A 20806-nucleotide genomic window follows, 5' to 3' on the forward strand; every position below is an offset into this window, starting at 1 on the left:
TATTCAATCCTCTCAACAGCCCTCTGATCTACGCACACTAACATCATGCCCATTTTACAGAGGAGAAAACAGAGGCTCATGGAAGAATGTGAAATAATGTAACCAACGTTCCCCACTAATAAGCAATCCAGGATTAGAATTTAGGTAGTCTTAATCAGCGAATATATGGCTTTCAAAGCATGGGAAAATTTCTCTGTGTACACTTGAGTAATTATCAGTACATAAATGATTGTTACTAATAATGTGCTTGTATTGTTATTTGCAGAGGTGGTACTTCAAGTCCACCCCTGGGAATGTCAATATCATGGGCAAGTGGGGTATCTTTAACTTGAAGGACAGCCCAGTCAGGGACTGGAGAGAATGTCAGCACCCCAGCTGGATCAGACAAATGCTATCATAGGCCTCAGCCAAAAGAGAGCTGGGTAGGGAAACTGAAGGGAAGGTGTGCACATAGGCTAAACCATGAAGGACATGAGCATCCAAGAAACACACACACACATCAGGCCTGGGGCTCCAAGTAAGAGAGAAAACTCTGAACCCCACCCAGGGTGGGGCTAAGGTTCCTAACGCACTTCCTGTACATGTCAGGGTGGGTCAAGGATTGGGCAGGGCTGGGTGGGGTTGGAGGCCAATCTGAAGAGCCTGGTTGACCAGTGTGGCTGTCTTCTCTGGCCCCTAGTCAATCTGAGACCAGTCACTCCTAGCAGAATGAAAAGTTTGCACATGGCTGCTTCTAACCTCAGATTCTCCCTCTTTTTAACACCAGGAAAGGTTTTCTTTGAAAATTCCCCTGCTTCTCTGAGTCTGCTGTTATGAAGGGTGAGATCACACCCTGTAGTCATGACTTTGGTCCTGAAACAATTATTCATCCTGTTCTACTTAAGCTTGGTGGCCCGTGCTCACTGGGTGATGAGCTCTCCCCCTAATCCCTCTCCCCACCAGTTCTCTCATGGCTCACTGCCCTGTTGGCTTTGTCAGGTGCAATTGCATCAGGTTAAGGCAGGGGAGGAGGGGTGAGGGCTGGGCCCCAGCTTGGGAATTAAGAAGTTGAGAGAGGCCAGAGAGAGAAGGAAGCAAAAAGATGAAGACAGATACAGAAACACTCCTGTTTTCAAAGTCTTAGGCATAAGGGGCCCTTCTCAATAGGTTACTATTTATAGGAACATACACAGAGTTGCTGTACCCAGACATGTGAGCCCCAGTGATGAGATTTCTGGTCCAGTGGAAACATCTGAAAGTCGTTACTTAAAATGTTACCAAGACAGCCACAGGCAGGCTCTGTATGTGCCCTCAGTCAACAAAATCTTCCCCACCCTCCTCTAAGACTCTAAGTTATGTTGGATCCATGAGAGGAGTCACCATGTCATCCTCAAAATGCCACTGAGAAACTGTCATCCAATGACTGTCATGGTTTTCCCCTCTTTATTTCTTCTGGAAGAGTGGAAGTAGGGGGAGGCAGAAAGTGTAGTGGCAGAGGATAAGGCTGACAGACCACAGTGGGTGACTGAAGTACTAAGACAATGGGGTGGCACAGAAGAATGCTGAGCAGCCAGTGTTAGAACTGTGTTTTAGGCCGGGCACCGTGGCTCACCCCTGTAATCCCAGCACTTTGGGAGGCCGAGGCAGGCGGATCACGAGGTCAGGAGATCGAGACCATCCTGGCTAACAAGGTGAAACCCCATCTCTACTAAAAATAAAAATTAAAAAAAAATTAGCTGGACGTGGCAGCAGGCGCCTGTAGTCCCAGCTACTAAGACAGGAGAATGGCGTGAACCCAGGAGGCGGAGCTTGCAGTGAGCTGAGATCAGGCCACTACACTCCAGCCTGGGTGACAGAGTGAGACTCCGTCTCAAAAAAAAAAAAACAAAAAATACTGTGTTTTAGATTAAAATGCTCCAGCAGCCAGAGTGAGGACTGGACCAGACACAGACCAGGGTGAGAGATCTCAAGATGGGCCTGGGGCATCAGCAGTGATGACGGAGGATAGGAGATAGATTTCTATGGCTGATATTTATTATTTTACATGTGTGGCTGCCCATTAATGTTTTTATTTGTTTGTTGTTTTAGAGAGAGGGTCTTGCTCTGTTGCCCAGGCTGAGTACAGTGGCATGATCACAGCTCACTGCAGCCTCAAACTCCTGGGCTCAAGTGATCCCCCTGCACCAGTCCCCCAAGTAGCTGGGACCACAGACCTGCACCACCACTTCTAGCAAATTTTTTAAATTTTTTGTAGAGATGGGGGCCTCACTGTGTTGCCCAGGCCCCTCTTGAACAGGAGATCCTCCCACTTCACCCTCCCAAGTAGCTGAGATTACAGGTCCACAAAGCCCAGCTTTTTTTTCATTATCTTTTTAACAGCCTTTTGCAATTTGGGGGAAATAGAACATAATGAGTTCCACTGGAAATTTTCTGATGTAGAAATCAGAACTCAAGTGATTTCCAGACTCATTTGCTGCTATGCCATGAGCACATAACCAGCCTTCATCAACTAGACACTCCAGTTGGGAAGTGGTCAATTTGAGGAATTGGTCTATTTGGAGCTCACGCACAGTTTTGCTGGTGTAGGAAACAACCAAGTCACCAGCTTTCAGGGCAGCATGTTTGCCAAGCCAAATTGCCAACCCAGAAGTGACATTAATGCTGGTAACATTGCAATAAAGTCAGTTTTCTGGCATCTAGTATTCAGTGGCAGCTTCAGCAACAGCAATCAAAGTCTCAACATTAAGCTAGAGCTGCTACGTGGTTTCGGATGTTCTTAGAAGCTTGGCCTCAAGCCAGTTTCTCCGTCTCCTCCATCAACTATGGGGGCTACTTGACATATTTTGCTAAATTACTTTTCTTCCTAGTTTTGTATTCTGTCATTTGCAACCGAGAAACTGGCTGATACAATTCTTGGTTATTTATGGGTAATATTAAGAGGATTTAGTGACCTATTAGCCCAACTACTAGAACAGTGACTGACACATAGCAGACATTCAGTATACCTCAAATACTTGTTGAGAGGCAGGAAGGCAGGAAGGCAGGCAAGAAGGAAAGGGAAGGGAAGGGAAGGGAAGGGAAGGGAAGGGAAGGGAAGGAAAGGGAAGGGAAGGGAAGGGAAGGGAAGCAAAGGGAAGGAAAGGGAAGGGAGGGAAGGAGGGAATGAGGGAAGGGAGGGAGGAGGGAAGGGACGGAGAGAGGGAAGGGGGAAGAAAAGAAGGATGAAGGGAAGGATAAACAGAGTGTATGTAATATGAGAGATGAAGGAGTGTAGGATGATATACAGATTAGACAACTTTGTGGATGGTAGTGCTATCACTGAGACATGAAAGGCAGAAGACAGAGCAGGTTTGAGAAAATGATGAGTCAGGTTTGGGACCGCTGGATTCAAGTTTCCTCCAGTACATCCAAGTACAGATTTTCAGTAGTTTGCTGGATATTTAGATCCAGAGTTCAACAGGAAACTCAGGGCAGTAGATGACTTGCGGGTGACCCAGACAGAGGAGTAAGTGAGTTTTGCAAATGGAAGAAATGCCCTAGTGCAAAGAAGAAATGACAATGAATGAAATTCTGAAAAGTACCAGCATTTAGGAGATAACTTGAGGAGTTGCTCACAAAAGACACTGAGGAAAACTGCCAGAAGTTCAGCTGAGCTTTGTGGACCCACATGTCATCAAAGGCCAGTGGTGACTGGACCAGGTGAAAACAAGAAATCTTTCTGCTTCTGTTTCCATTTCCACAGTGCATGGGCCAAAACACTTACCTTCCCGGCTCCTTGCTGTGAATGATCATGAAAGGCAGGCCTCTTGACCAAGCTGCAGACATTTATGAGCATCTACTGCGCGCTAGGCACTGAGCAAGGCAATTTACATTGATTGTCCTTTTTAATTCTATCAATTGCACTATGAGTGACTTATTATATTTGTCCCATTATTGCTGAGGTTCAAAAAAGTAAGGTCACTTTCCACTTCCCACAGGGCTGGCTATTAGAATCATTCAGCAAGAGATCCTGAACAGGGCTGGAGGGAGAAGGCTTCAAAAAGAGCAACCAGTTTGCATTACGGGAAACTGAGGCACAGAGATGTTACTCGCCTAACGTCACATGGTTAGTGACTGGTTCTAATCCCAGGCCAGCCTGCCTTAAGGATCCAATGATGATAATGTTGATGATGATGTGACAGGGATAGTAACAGTGATGGTAACAACAACAGTGACTGCTGCTACGTTTATGGGGTGCCTATAATATGCCAAAATTGGTGCATTTCATGCATTGCCTCACTTAATTCTCATGACAACACAATAAGGTAGGGCTATCATAAACCCCTCTTCAGCCATGAGTGTAAAAGGGGCTCAAATTGTCACTGTGAGCAATAATAATCCTACTGGGGCTTGGGGCTGGAGGTTGGCATGCAGGACAGGCTGGAAACAGACTGCCCCACAGCAGATCCTGGCTTCTCAGACCCCGAGGCAGCCCCAGGGAGCAGACAGCCCAGCCCAACCCAGGCAAGGGAGACATTCTGCCCAGACAAACCGCAGAAGCGTCTGGGGCGCTGCTGTCTCCTGTCCTCTACAAACTTGTAGCAGCTTGCGTGTGCAGATCTCTGGGATGAGATGATCAAGGACTGGCCCCCCTGTCCCAAGTGCTCATGAGGAAACTGCCCTGTGTGCCATAGGGCTCATCTCTCCAGGCCTGCCCAGACCCAGGACCTTGAACTGAACCATGCACAGGTCTATAGGTTGAGGAGGTGGATAGAAAAGGGTCCCCAGATAGCAGACCCTGGTGGGAATTTTAGCGCCACCATAAGCCTTTGTTCTAAGCTTCCTTTCATCTGGCTTCCAGAACTAGGACCTGCTGGATGGTTTATTGCCTTTCCTTTTAAGTCACATTAAAAATAACTTTTCAGTAATCACCCTAACACAAGGTACTTGACTCGCTGGGGATCCCCAGTGCCTAGAAAGATGCTTGGTATGTACTAGAAATAACAAATATTTATTGAGCACTTACTATGTGATAGGCAAGGCACCATGAACTTTACATTCTTTATCTATCACCTTTAATGCTCACTACAACCCTATGAAATATATTCTCTTATTATCTCCATTTTACAGATGAGAAAACTGAGACTTTGAAAGGTGAAGTGACTTAGCTCAAGGTCACATAATGAAAAAGCAGCAGAGCTAGGATTTGACTGCAGTCTATGCTCAGACAGTCCCACCATGATACTGTGTTGTATAAAATAGGTGAAAGAGTGTGTGTGTGTGTGTGTGGGTGTGTTTAGAAAGGCAGCCTAATTTGGTGGAGATATTTAGTAGAGACATTTAGGAACCTTGGGCTCCAAGCTTAATTCTGCTATATGAAAGCTGTGTTACCTCGATGAAAGAACTTGACGTCTCTGAGATTCAGTGTCCTCATCCTTCTTTTCAAACCTCCAGTTGTGGAAGACAAACTATGGCTCTGAAATAACAAGCACAAATGCAATAGAAATACAAAGCATGAGTGAGTATACATAGACACTTGTGTGGCCCATGTGTGTCTGTGTATGTGGCAGCTCCCTGGGCAGGTCTGTGCATTTGTGTGTAAATGCTTTTACACGTGAGCATGCGTAGCAGAATCATGTCTGTTTCCTCTCTTGAGAGCCCCTGGTTATGCACTGTGGGTCCGGAAAAGGTATCCAGACCTCACTCATTATACCCATTTGCCTGTTGTACTTAGAAACTTTATTTTCTACCGAAGTTATGGCTCCCTCCCAGCTGTTGAAAGTCTGGGTTATGGCATGAGTGGAAGATCAAGGCTGCTTCCACTCCCAAATGCATGCTCAGTCCCTCGCTCTGCCCATTTGTCAACTCTTGGCCCAAAACTGTCCTCTCAGAGATTTCCCTTAGGCTGAGTAAGGAAGCCAGTTATAGCCACCTGGGAAAAAGGAGCCTCAGACAATGTGGAGGGGCCAGGGGAGAGGATACCTGCTCCAGGTCTTATTTTCCTCTCTCAATACCTAAGCAAACGCGCCGTGACAAAGGAGGGGACTTTGGCTTTTCCACATAGAGTGAGTGCTACATAAATATAAATTAAAGACATCAACAACCATCAATAGTCACTTTTATAAGACCCATTTTACAGATAAGAGAACTGAGGTTCAAAATGTTTAAGTAATTGACACAAGGTCACAGGGCACATAAGCAGCAAAGACAGGATCCTGGAGCAGCTCCATCCTACACCAAAACCTGCGCTTATTCCACTGTGCCCACGAAGGTATCAAACTGGTGCACCTGGCAAGGTCATAGGTGAGGCAGCTGGGATTTCCCAATCTGCCTTAACACATAGCCTTAGCCAGGGTGACTGAGCAAGAAAGCACTGTCTCTGCCTGAAATTGTGCCAGGGAAAGGGTGCAGACTCAAGAGACCAGCTTAGCAGTTGTGTAAGGGGTATCATCCTGCCTGCACACTGTTTCCTTATCTGCAAATTGGTCTAGCACGCCACACCTCTCAGGATCAGTGGAGACCAGAAGAGTGTGGGGAGATCAGCACATACAGGTGTGTGGACCAGAGATGAAGACCCATGAACATCAGGCAGTGGGGATAGAAAGAAGGCAGAGGCCAGGTCCTGAAGGTCTAGTGAAGCCATCTGTATTAGTTTCCTGAACTTGGCAGCCTAAAACAACAAACATTTATTATTTCTCAGCTTTAGAGGCCAGAAATCCAAAACGAGTTTCAGTGGGCCAATATCAAGGTGTTGGCAGGGCTGTGCTCCCTCTGGAGGCTCTAGAGGAGAATCTGTTCCTTGCCTTTTCCAGCTTCTGGGGGCTGCCAGCTTCCCTTGATCTCAGTTGCATTGTTCCAGTATCTGCCCCCGTGATCACTTTGCTTCTCAGTCTGTGTGTGGTAAAACCTCCTTCTGTCTCCCTCTTATAAAGAGACATGTGATGGTATTTAGGGCACACCTGTATAAGCCAGGATAATCTACCCACCTTAAAATCCTCAACTTAATCACATCTGCAAACAGTCTTTTTCCAAAAGAAAAAATAAAGGAATATTTACAGGGATTAGGAACAATTATCTTTCGGGGGCATTTTCAGCCTACTACACCATCTAAATAAGCTGATACTACATCTTGGTGGCACCAAGGAGCCATTGGAAGGTCTCTGGTGGCAGAGTGCCATGATGAGATCTATTTCCTGAAATAAATGTGGACTCTCTCATGGCCTGTGGCAAATCCACTCCCTGCTCGAGGTTTCTGAAAAGTCCCAGAGGCTTTCACTATTTTGTCACTCCTAGCTCCCTTTCTTTCCCTCTTACCTATGATCTCCTGCACTTCTGCTCAAATGCAGAATTAAAATATTCTTCCTTGATCTTTACCCCCTCCCCCCAAAAAAATTCACTCACACAAGACATTTTTGTGTGTCGATGACTTTACTAAAGGTTTGTAATGTCAGACTGAGTTGACATCATAGAATGCAAACAATTTTAAATTAAGCATTAAATATCTCATTTTGATGCATCCTTGACCCACCCTGGCTACCTTCTTTCTAGACTTTCCCCTTCTACCATGTTCCCAGACTGCTTATTTTCATTCTTTTTTTATTATTTTCCTTTTCTCTGCTCTACCCCATCCGGAAATTCCTGCAATTTCTCAGACTGAGCAGTTAAGATATGTCTTACCCTCTCCAGGTGATAAATGTTAATTTCTGGCCTCTAAAGCTGAGAGAGGTGTTAATTTCCTAAGCAAGGGTAACTTCCTCCCCAAGAGGATCCCTAATACTGCAGTTGAAATCAGAATTTTTTCATCCTATTGCACTTATACATAGAAGTATATTATATGTTAAATACATTTAAAGGGACATCGCACATGTAAATACCCACACACTCTCATACACACACATGCCCCAAAGATCACAGCTAAGTCCCAACTTGAAGTAAGCATGTTCGAATGTCATCGCCATGACCCACCCACCCATCTGTTTTGAGCTGTGGTTGGCAGCAAATAATTAGCATTCACCAGGATGGCCAAGCCCAGCTTCCACTGTGGATCCCAACAGCCTGCCTCACAGCAAGAGACTCCGCTTTGGTGTAATTACCTATTCCTTGCACACCAGTTGCCCTGGTGTGATGTCAGCCCCTCCACATTGTTTATTTTAATTAAAACAGAAATTGCAGGTCTTAGGTGCTTGTAATTACAGCCCATGAACTAAATTGACTGAGGCCCCTAATTAACCTGAAACACGTCTACCTGGCTGGAGGTGTGAGTTTGGACTTGACTAGTTCAGGGCACTGCATCGGCACCAAAAACAGAGCAAGGAAAGGTCTATTAGGGATTCAGATAGGGCATTTGCCCTCCAAAAACTGCTACACACAGCCTGTACCCCTCAGACCACATTGTGGGTTCAATTTCAATTCCAAATGTACCTAATTAGCCCAGGACACACTCAGCAAAAGTGTAGTGATAGCATCTAAAAATCAACTAATGTAATCATCAATAGAATAGAAAGCAAAAACAAAGGAGTAAAAAAATAAAAATAAAAAATCACATGATCATTCCAATAGATGCAGAAAAAAACTTTTGACAAAATCCAACACTCTTTTTTTAATAAAAACACTCAACAAACTAGGGATAGAAGAGAACTTCCTCAACCTGATAAAGAGCATCTATGAGAAACCCATAGCTACGTCATACTCAGTGGTGAGAAACTTTCTCCCTAAGGAGATGCTTTCTCCCTAAGATCAGGAACATGACAAGGATGTCTGCCCTTAACACTTCAATTCAGCATTGTTCTGGAGGTTCTGTCGCAGGCAATTGAAAAAGAAAAAGAAATACAGACATTCAGCTTGGAAAGAAAGAAGTAAAACTATCTCTATTTTTATGTGACATGATCTCATATATATAAAATCCGAAGGAATCCACTAAAAAATAGAACTAATAAATGAATTCAACAAGGTTGCAGGATACAAGATCAATCTACAAAAATCAACTGTATTTCTATACACTTGCAATGAGAAATCTAAAAATAAAGTTAAGAAAATAATTTAATATGCAATGGTTGGTGGGACTGTAAACTAGTTCAACCATTGTGGAAGTCAGTGTGGCAATTCCTCAGGGATCTAGAACTGGAAATACCATTTGACCCAGCCATCCCATTACTGGGTATATACCCAAAGGACTATAAATCATGCTGCTATAAAGACACATGCACACTTATGTTTATTGTGGCACTATTCACAAAAGCAAAGACTTGGAATCAACCCAAATGTCCAACAATGATAGACTGGATTAAGCAAATGTGGCACATATACACCATGGAATACTATGCAGCCATAAAAAATGATGAGTTCATGTCCTTTGTAGGGACATGGATGAAATTGGAAATCATCATTCTCAGTAAACTATAGCAAGAACAGAAAACCAAACACCACATATTCTCACTCATAGTGGGAATTGAACAATGAGAACACATGGACACAGGAAGGGGAACATCACACTCTGGGGACTGTTGTGGGGTTGGGGGAGGGTTGTGGGGTGGGGGGAGGGGGAGGGATAGCATTAGGAGGTATACCTAATGCTAAATGACGAGTTAATGGGTGCAGCACACCAACATGGCACATGTATACATATGTAACTAACCTGCACATTGTGCACATGTACCCTAAAACTTAAAGTATAATAATAATAAAATTTAAAAAAAACAAAGTAGTAAAATAGAAAGTAATTTAACAAAAAATATAAAACTTAACTCTGAAAACTTCAAAACGTTGTTGAAAGAAATTTAAAAAGACCTATAAAACTCTAAAAACATTCGAGGTTCATGGATTGGGAAACTTAATATTGTTAAGATGGCAATATTCCTCAAATTGATCTACAAATTTAACACAATCCCTATCAGAATCCCAGCTTGCTTCTTTGTAGAAATTGAAACTGATTATAAAATTCATATGTAATTTCAAAGGTCTCAGAATAGTCAAAATCATCTTGAAGAAAACAAAGTTTTCCCAAATGCCCATCAATTATAGACTGGATAAAGAAAATGTGGTACATATACACCATGGAATACTACATTGCCATAAAAAGGAATGAGATCATGTCCTTTGCAGGGATGTAGATGAAGCTGGAAGCCATCATCCTCAGCAAACTAACACAGGAACAGAAAACCAAACACCGCATGTTCTCACTCATAAATGGGAGTTGAACAATGAGAACACATGGACACAAGGAGGGGAACAGCACACACCAGGGCCTATTAGGGGGTGGGAGATAAGGGGAGGGAACTTAGAGGATGGGTCAATAGGTGCAACAAACCACCATGGCACACGTATACCTACGTAACAAACCTCCACGTTCTGCACACGTATCCCAGAACTTAAAGTAAAATTTAAAACAAAACTGCATGTTCTGCACATGTACCCCAGAACTTAAAGTATAATAAAAAATAAAATTTAAGAAAAAGAAAAGAAACAAAAATGAAAAGGCAACCCACAGAATGAAAGAAGATATATTCAAATGCTGTCTCTGATGAGAGACTTGTTCTAGAACATGTAAAGAGCTCTTAAAACTGGGTAATAAAAAGACAAATAACCCAATTTAAAGATAGGCAAAGGATTTGGATTGGCCTTTATCCAAAGAAGATATACAAATAGCCAATAAACACATAAAAAGATGCTCAACCATTAAGCAGGGAAATGCAAATCAAAACCACAATGGGATACCACTTCACGACAACAAAATTGCCTAGATAGGATTGCCTAGATAGCAACAAAATCAGAAAGAACAAAACATCAGTGTTGGAGCTATGCAGAAATTGCAACTCTCATACACTGCTGATGGAATATAAAATGGTGAAACCGCTTTGGGAAACAGCCTGAAAGTTCCTCAAAAAGTTCAACACAGAGTTACCATATGACCCAGCAATTTCACTCACAGTAGATAACCAAGAAAAATGAATACATACGTCACATAAAAAACTTTCACACAAGTGTTTATGTAATTACTCATAATAATAAATTATATTATGAATTAATTAGTCAAAAAGTAGAAATAACCCAAATATTAATATAAATCAACTTATTATAGACAATATATGGTATATCCATACACTGGAATAAAATTCAGCCACAATGAATGAAATGTTGATATATCCTACCACATAGATGAACTTTGAAAAAGTTAAAGTACATGAAAGAAGACAGTCACAAAATATCACGTATTATATAATTATACTTAAATGTAATGGCCAGAATAGGTAAATCTATAGAGATAGGAAGTAGATTAGTGCTTGCTTAGGGCTGGGGAAGATAGCGGGGTAGGGGAGTGATTGATAAAGGATGCAGAGTTTCTTTGTGAAGTGAGGAATATATTCTAAAATTGACTGTAATGATAGCTGAACATATCTGTAACTATACTAAAAACCATTGAATTGTACTCTTTAAATGAATGAATTTTATGATATGTAAATTATATCTCAATGAAGCTGCTTTACTAAGTGTACTGGGTACCAAGTACCTCCCAGGCACCATACAGGTGCTGATATAAAAGCCATGTCAAATACATAAACTGAGTGTCTTCTTTGTTTTTTAAATGATTCTTCCTCAATTTTTAGAAAATTAAGAAAAACTATAAGGAAGAAAAGAGAAATCATCTATAATCATACCTCCAGTGACAGCCATTATTTATATTTTTCATGCATTTTCTCTGTTTCTTCCATTCAAAATCCTTTTAATGTATTGGATGCCATTTTGAACATCTTAAAATATATTTATATTAACAAACCCTTACATGCTTACCAAGCAATTTAAGGAATAAAACAACATCAATAGAAGAAAACACCATCTACATGCATAATTATCTTGAGGAAATAATCAGAGGTTATCCAAGATGTATAGGATGCTCACCCCAGCACCACCCTTAACGGTAAAACAAGGAAAACACTGGCTGGGTGCAGTGGCTCACACCTGTAAATCCCAGCACTCTGGGAGGCCAATGGGGGGTGGATTACCTGAAGTCAGGAGTTTGAGACCAGCCTGACCAACATGGTGAAACCCCATCTCTACTAAAAATACAAACATTAGCCAGGTGTGGTGGCAGGTGCCTGTAATCCCAGCTACTTGGGAGGCTGAGGTGGGAGAATCGCTTGAACCCAGCAGGTGGAGATTGCAGTGAGCCGAGATCACCCCACTGCACTCCAGCCTGGGTGAGAGAGCGAGACTTCATCTCCAAGGGAAACACAAACTTAACAAAACTATCTCAGCGAAGGTTTTTTTTTTTTTCATCTTTGTGAATGTAAAAAAAAAAAAGTATCTTTCATTTTTAATGTAAAGTTTTTGATAATAATGAGATATTTTTACAAATGTATTATCTTTTGATGCCTCAGCAAATTATATGTGCAAGTCTTATGGGCACTTTTTCTCTGGTTTTCTTTTTTATATGGTGATTTTTTAAAATCTCTGCACGTATTAAGGACAGTAACCATTCTGCCGTATATATTGTAAGTACTTTTCCAATTTGGACATTTTTCTTTTACTGTTGCTTATAATATTTTTAAAGATATGGATTTTTTTTTCAGTGGCCAAATATATTATTCTTATCCTTAAGATCTCTTCTATTGCTCTGAGGCTTAAAATATCTTTCATCATCTGAAACTCAATTAAATATTTATTATATATTATTCTAGTATTTCATACTGGCAATCTTAACTTTTCACTATGCTGTGTTAAGTAAAATTTGTGTATATCATAACTGCCCAAAGCAATAACTGCCTGTATTTTAAAAAGTAACTCTTTAATCCATTTATAATTTAATTTAGGAGATAATGTGAGGTAAGGTTCTCATTTTATTTTATTCCAACACTCATTAAAAAATTCACCCCTTTCCAAATAATTAACATTTCTTTTATCTTCTATTAAGCTTATAGGTATTCTAGCATGCAATTCAAGACTATCCCTTCTATTTCATGACATCATATTTTAATTGTTGTATAATGCCATATTGTTTCAACTACAGTAGTATATATGTCAAATACATAAGAATGACATTTTTACTTCTGTTGCAGGAGGCAATGCTTGTTTTGTCTAATGAAATTCAGAATCACTTTCAAAATCAAAATTCCAAACCATGTTAAATGTATGAATGAATGAGGGACTAATTAATATCTTTGCAATATACAATCTTTCCAACTAGATATATAGTTGTCTTTCTATTCATTCTTTTTTTATATTTCTAAGTTGAAGTTTCAGATCTGATTTTGGTTTCTTTCCAATATGTTATAATAAAGTTTCAGGTATACAAAAAAGTTGAAAGAATTTTATAGTGAGCACTTACACAGATTATCTCATTGACACCTTAATTCCTTTATCTCAATCCATCTTGAGATTTTTATACACTTTAAATTATGTATATATATACACATGTATGTGTATATGTGTGTGTGTGTGTATATATATATATCAGTACATATCCTCTTAAATATTTCAGAATACATATCATTAACTGCAGTTCAGTATTTGTTTACAGGTTTTTGTGGTAAAATTTACACACAATGAAAGACAAAAATCTTAACTATATATTGGCTGAGTTTTGACAAATGCTTACATCTATGTACCCAAACCTCCATCAAGATGTAAACATTGCATCATTCCAGGAAATTCCCTCATGTCCCTTTTTCATCAATAACCATTTCTTCCCCCAGAGTAAATCACTATTCTGTTTTTCTCCACCATGAATTAGTTTTGCCTATTTTAGAACAACATATTATGGAATACCGTTCCCATGTGTACTCTTGTAGATGACTTCTTTCACATGACAAAACCTTTTGAGATTCCTCTGTGCTGTTGCATGTTCAATAATTTGTTCCTTTCTATTCCTAAGTAGTATTCCATTGCATGAATATACTGTAATGTGTTTATTCATTCTCCTATTGATAGACACCTGGGCTGTTTCCAGTTTATAATTATTATTATTATATACTAATAAGGTCTTGCTAGGAACATACTTGTACAAACCTTTTTGTAGGCATATATTTTCAGTTTTCTTGGTTAATTACCTGGGATTCAAATTTCTGGGTCACAGGGTAGATATGTGTTCAGATTTATGAAAAATTATGAGACATTTTGCCAAACGCCCACTAACAATGTATGACAGTTCCAGTTGCTCCACATTCTTGACAATTGGGATTGTTTCCATCTTTCATTTTAGAACTTCTGAAGGGTGAATAAGGATGTCACATTGTGGTTTGAATTTTCCTGATAAGTAATGATATTGAGTATTTTTATATCTGGTCATTGGCCAGGTGTATATATTTTGTGAAATGCCTGTCCAGTTAATTTGCTCATTTTTACTCCTTTATTATTAAATTGCAGGAGTTCTTTATACATCCTGGATACCAGTCTATTGTCAGATAACATCTGTTTTACTTATAATTTTATCCAGTTTGTAGATTGCCTACCTAACAGTGTCTATCTATGAGCAGAAGTTTTCTTAATAACGTCTATTTATGAGCAGAAGTTTCAAGCTTTGATGAAGTCTAATTTATCAGTTTTTCTGAGTCTTGTCAAAGAAAACTTAGTCTATCCCTAAGTCATAAAGATACTATCCTATATTTCTATTGAAAACTGTGTGGTTTGTATATTGTATAAAGTGGCAGTTAAAGTCCTTTTTCTCACGAGAATAACTGGCTATTGCAGCATCCTTAGTTAGAAGACTTTTCTTTCTGTATTGAATTGCTTTGATGATTCTATCAAAAATTAGTTGGCCAGTGGAGTGTGTTTATGAGCTTTCTGTTCTGTTCCACTAATCATTTGTTGATGGTTATGCCAGTACCACATTGTCTTAATTGCTTTAGCTTTAAAATGAGTCTTGAAATCAGATAGTATAAGTTGACTAACTGTTCTTCTTTATCAAGATTGTTTTATCAAAGTATTCTATGTGCTTGCATTTATATATAAATAGTAGAGTCATTTTTTTCAGTTTCTGCAAAAGTCTTTCTATTGTGATTATGTTGAATCTATTGGTCGGTTGGGAGAGGATTAACATCTTGACAACATTATATCTTCGTATCCATAACCACCCATTGATTTGGGTCTTCTTTATTTACTCTCAGCAATGTTTTATAGTTTTCAGTGTAGAGGTCTTGTACATATACTGTTAAATCTAATCCCCAGTATTTTTTGTTTTTGATAATCTGTAAAGGGTTTCTTAAAATTTTACTTCCCAAACATTTGTTGCTAGTATATAAATAATAAAATTGATTTGTGTATGTTTACCTTGAATCTTACGAGCTCTCTAAATTCACGGATTACTTCTAGTAGTTGTTTCATAGATTTATTAAGATTTTATATGTAAACAATCATGACACCAGCAAATAAGTACAATTTTACCTCTTCCTATCTGTATGCATTTTTTTTATTTTTGGTTTTTCTCCTTTTGCAATGGCTGCAATCGCAGTACAATGTTAAATAGAATGGTGAGAGAGGGCATCTTTGCCTTGTTTCCAATCTTAGTGAGAAAGTGTTCAATATTTCACCAATAAGTATGATGTTTGATGTATCTTTTTAATAAATAATCTTTATCGATTGAGAAGTTTCTCTTTTATTACTAGATGGTTTTATTGCTAGATTAATGACTAGATTGTTTTTATCAATGGGATGTTCATTTTCTGTCAAGTCTCTTTTCTCCTTGATGCATGTTTCTTCCTAGTTCTGTTAATGCAGTGGATTATACTGTTGGATTTTTAAGTGTTAAATGAACTTTATATTTCTGAGATAATTCTGACATAATAAAAAAGTCAGAATGTGTCATTCTTTTCATATACACTACTGGATTGGGTTTGCTAATATTTTGTTAAGGGTTTTTGAGGCTCTGTTCATCCAGGACTTTTTGTCAGTAATTCTTTCTATCTTCCTTTAATTTTTTGGAACAAGAGGAAATATCTGTCAGATTTGGGCATTATAGTTTCATAAATGAGGGTCATGAAATGAATTAGGGAGTGTTTCTTCCTCCTCTCTTTTCTGAAAAGAGTTTGTAAACGATGTTATTTCTTCTTAAATATTGAGAGAATTCACTTGTGAAAATATTGAGACCTAGAATTTTCTTTGAGGGAAGATGTTTATTAACTTCTTTGACTCCACATTTACTTGGAGAATTTGGTATGTGTTTATTTGTGTGTTGGGGAAGGGGGTTATTTTAAACCCTATTATTCTTTTTTATTCTTTTTTTTTTTCAGCTTTTTATCTAATGGAGCTCTGCTCTACTGAGGTGGAATCGCTTCCAAATTTTCTTGCCTTATTCTTTAACATTCAAAATCAGCAGAACATATGAAAGTCTACAGTGTCCAGCAGGCCCTGCTGCTCAGTCTGTCCTTGTCTCTGTCCTCATCACACAACTTTACTTATAGTATCTATTCCTCCCAGGATCCATGTATTAAGGTCACAACTTTCTACCCTGTCATTTTACAAAACATATGATCTTCAACAAATATATTGAGGATGGCAAGATTTGGCTGCCTTAAAAAGCAACTCACAGACTTGAGAGATGGCCATCCAATTTTTTAATTGCTGCAGATGCTATGTCTCTGAGCCAATGCAAAGAGAGGGAGAGGGAAAGAGCGTCTCCACTTTTACGATGGCAGGGCTGCACTGTTTCTGTGTCTTCATTAGAGAGGTTAATTGGAAATCAAGAGAGGCTGTGTCACGGGCAGCAATAGCTAGCCAGATGCCATTTTAAACTGGAATTTATCCAGCTGATTTCTTTGAAAATCTACCATGCTTTGCTCAATAGACACACTGCTGGCTGGCACCAAGGAAATGACTGGTACGTAAGCACACATTCAGCATTTAGTAGTTCATTTTTCCCTTCCTTCTGCTCCTTCAGCTGATCATGTCCTCAATTATACTCAGAAATGAGGGATTCCCTTCATGAATCAGTAAGGGTTGAGAGCAATGGCTAAGAGTTCCGACTGAGTCTTCCTCAACTTATCTGCATTCCTGGTTACTGCAAAGTTTTTATAAGATCCTGGAAATACCAGGCTATTTGAACCCATTCAGTTATCTCTGGCTCATGCACCTCATCCATCAGCAAATTAAAACTTGGATGTGAGATGTCAGTGAAGGAAAGAGAAGCATGGTCCCTTAACTGCTACAAATAATATGCAAGTGAGCTAGCAGAGGTATGTCATAAAAGGGATGAGGGGCAAAAAGGATCTCCCTCTAGGCCTAGGAACATTCTGAATTTGATGCTTTCCTGTGGATTATAATCCCACAAGACACAATGCCAAATGCCATAACCCAAATGTTGAAATCCCTGACATCCACATTTCTAAAGTCTAAAATTCCTAAGGTCTAAAATCCCAAAAATCACAAACACAGGATAGTTGCATCAGGTTAGGGAGAACGATTACTCTGTTAGTGTCTTTGTTTGGAAGTTAAGTATGGTTTAAGGAGATGCATATGGGTGCCAAGTTGACAAGAGGTGGACTTGTGAATTTAATTTTAGGTGTCACCTTGACTAGATTAAGGAGTCCCTAGAAACCTGATAAAGCATTATTTTGGGAGTGTCTGTGAGGTTGTTTCCAGATGAGATGAGTGTGAGTCTGAGTGAACTCCGTAGGGAAGATCTGCCCTCAACCTTGTCAGGCACCCTCCAATCAGCCAGGGCACAGAAGGCGAATCAATTTCTCTCTGAGAGCTGGGGCAGACTCTCTTCTGCTGCTTTGGACATCAGTACTCCAGGCTTGCTGGCCTTTGGACTTCAGTTGTTATACCTACAGCCCCGCAGGTAGTGAAGCTTTCGGTTCTTGACTGATAGACCATAAGCTTCTCTGGTTCTCAACATAAAAACATTGAAATTTCCTCTGTAGTGTAAGAGATGTTATTTTTGTTCGTTTTCGTTTTTGAAAGCTAAAATTTATTGAGATCTCAGCTCTTTGCAAGACTGCATATGCAGTGGTGACCCATTGAGGGTTTTGGTCAGTCTCATCAAAATACAGGTTGTCTGACACGATATTTCAAGTGACCACAGTTATAAAGCCGGGTGCAGCCAATTACCAACCATGATGATATGCATTCATACATTTCGCTTTTTGACCTATTTCTTTATGAATACATTTGTCTGATCATAACTGTTACACTCCTGTAAATGTTTTTAGTATACCTGGGTGTTTATGCTTATAAAAAATGTATGTTATTATTCCCTATTTCATTGTGTAAACTGGCCTAGGAAGTGTTCTGTCATGTTTTTATATGTTTCTCAGGAAAACCCATTTTAACATGTAAATAAATGTTTTTTAAAGAATATTTTATTATTTTTTCCAGAATCATATTTTCAGGATTTTGATCTTTTGGGATTTCAACATTTGCAATTACGGCATTAAGATTGTATCTTCCAGGATTAGGATCAGCTTCTGAATACTTACAGTCTAATGCCAAGGAAGAAAGCTAATGGCCAAAATATTTAAATAGCTTAGTCTTTTGATGAACAACTAACTCAGCTATTTGAGTTGCTAATGTCAAAGCAAAGACAAAATTCCCAGGAATAATGTTCCAGAGCAAACTTGCTCAATTTTTAAATGCGTTTTAACAATGATCATGTATTGACAGAATAGAACAAGGATTTTTTAAAATTGATCTGCAGAAAAAAATGGCTTATCTATACCTGTCATGTCTAACATGGTAACAACTAGCCACATGGGGCTATTAACCCATGTGAAATGTGGCTAATCCAAATTAATATGTGCTGTAAGTATATAACACACACCAGATACAAGTACAAAGACAAAGACATAGTATGAAAAAAGGAACGTATTTTACTAATAATGTCTCTGAGAAGTTGCATGTTAAAATAATCATATTTTAGATTTATTGGATTAAAGAAAATGTGTTATTAAAATTAATTTTACCTCTGTTTTTACTTGTTTAATGTGGTTCCTAGAAAATTTTAAATTACATATGTGGCTCATAGTAGATTTCTATTAGACAGCTCTAAACAATTAAAATAATGGCATACTGGAAAAAGTTCTTGTGCATGTATATTAGTTCACCAGGGCTGCCATAGCAAAGTACCACAGATTGACATAAATAATAGAAATGTATTTCTCACAGTTCTGGGGGCTGGAGTCTGAGGTCACGGTGTTGGCAGGGTTGGTTTCTTCTGAGGCTTCTCTCCTTGGCTTGCAGATGGCCACCTCCTCCCTGTGCCTTCACATGGTCTTCAGCACCTGTCTGCATCTGAATTTCCCATTCCTATAAGGAGGACATCAGTCAGGGGAGGAGCCAAGATGGCTGAATAGGAACAGCTCCGGTCTACAGCTCCCAGCGTGAGCGACGCAGAAGACGGGTGATTTCTGCATTTCCATCTGAGGTACCGGGTTCATCTCACTAGGGAGTGCCAGACAGTGGGCGCAGGTCAGTGGGTGCGCGCACCGTGCGCGAGCCGAAGCAGGGTGAGGCATTGCCTCACTCGGGAAGCGCAAGGGGTCAGGGAGTTCCCTTTCCTAGTCAAAGAAAGGGGTGACGGACGGCACCTGGAAAATCGGGTCACTCCCACCCGAATACTGCGCTTTTCCGACGGGCTTAAAAAACGGCGCGCCACGAGATTATATCCCACACCTGGCTCGGAGGGTTCTACGCCCACGGAGTCTCACTGATTGCTAGCACAGCAGTCTGAGATCAAACTGCAAAGCGGCAGCGAGGCTGGGGGAGGGGCGCCCGCCATTGCCCAGGCTTGCTTAGGTAAGCGAAGCAGCCAGGAAGCTCGAACTGGGTGGAGCCCACCACAACTCAAGGAGGCCTGCCTGCCTCTGTAGGCTCCACCTCTGGGGGCAGGGCACAGACAAACAAAAAGACAGCAGTAACCTCTGCAGACTTAAATGTCCCTGTCTGACAGCTTTGAAGAGAGCAGTGGTTCTCCCAGTACGCAGCTGGAGAGCAGCTGGAGATCTGAGAACGGGCAGACTGCCTCCTCAAATGAGTCCCTGACCCCTGACCCCCGAGCAGCCTAACTGGGAGGCACCCCCCTGCAGGGGCACACTGACACCTCACACGGCAGGGTACTCCAACACACCTGCAGCTGAGGGTCCTGTCTGTTAGAAGGAAAACTAACAAACAGAAAGGACATCCACACCAAAAACCCATCTGTACATCACCATCATCAAAGACCAAAAGTAGATAAAACCACAAAGATGGGGAAAAAACAGAACAGAAAAACTGGAAACTCTAAAAAGCAGAGCGCCTCTCCTCCTCCAAAGGAACGCAGTTCCTCACCAGCAATGGAACAAAGCTGGACGGAGAACGACTTTGACGAGCTGAGAGAAGGCTTCAGACGATCAAATTACTCTGAGCTACGGGAGGACATTCAAACCAAAGGCAAAGAAGTTGAAAACTTTGAAAAAAATTTAGAAGAATGTATAACTAGAATAACCAATACAGAGAAGTGCTTAAAGGAGCTGATGGAGCTGAAAACCAAGGCTCGAGAACTACGTGAAGAATGCAGAAGCCTCAGGAGCCGCTGCGATCAACTGGAAGAAAGGGTATCAGCGATGGAAGATGAAATGAATGAAATGAAGCAAGAAGGGAAGTTTAGAGAAAAAAGAATAAAAAGAAATGAGCAAAGCCTCCAAGAAATATGGGACTATGTGAAAAGACCAAATCTACGTCTGATTGGTGTACCTGAAAGTGACGGGGAGAATGGAACCAAGTTGGAAAACACTCTGCAGGATATTATCCAGGAGAACTTCCCCAATCTAGCAAGGCAGGCCAACGTTAAGATTCAGGAAATACAGAGAACTCCACAAAGATACTCCTCGAGAAGAGCAACTCCAAGACACATAATTGTCAGATTCACCAAAGTTGAAATGAA

At 40.3% G+C, this 20806-nt stretch overlaps 1 long non-coding RNA gene across 2 annotated transcripts in view; it reads right to left on the minus strand.

The window, feature by feature from the left end:
• The window catches only part of LOC102724968 (uncharacterized), a 75521-nt gene that overhangs the window by 31541 nt on the left and 23174 nt on the right, over positions 1–20806 (minus strand). For both annotated transcript variants that reach the window (XR_001754596.2, XR_001754597.1), the window contains 2 exons: positions 19049–19191; positions 5350–5434 (listed from right to left, as the gene is read on the minus strand). This is a non-coding gene — a long non-coding RNA (uncharacterized LOC102724968). The remainder of the gene's footprint in view (positions 1–5349; positions 5435–19048; positions 19192–20806) is intronic.

Source organism: Homo sapiens, chromosome 20, assembly GCF_000001405.40.
Source record: "Homo sapiens chromosome 20, GRCh38.p14 Primary Assembly".
Taxonomy (NCBI): domain Eukaryota; kingdom Metazoa; phylum Chordata; class Mammalia; order Primates; family Hominidae; genus Homo; species Homo sapiens.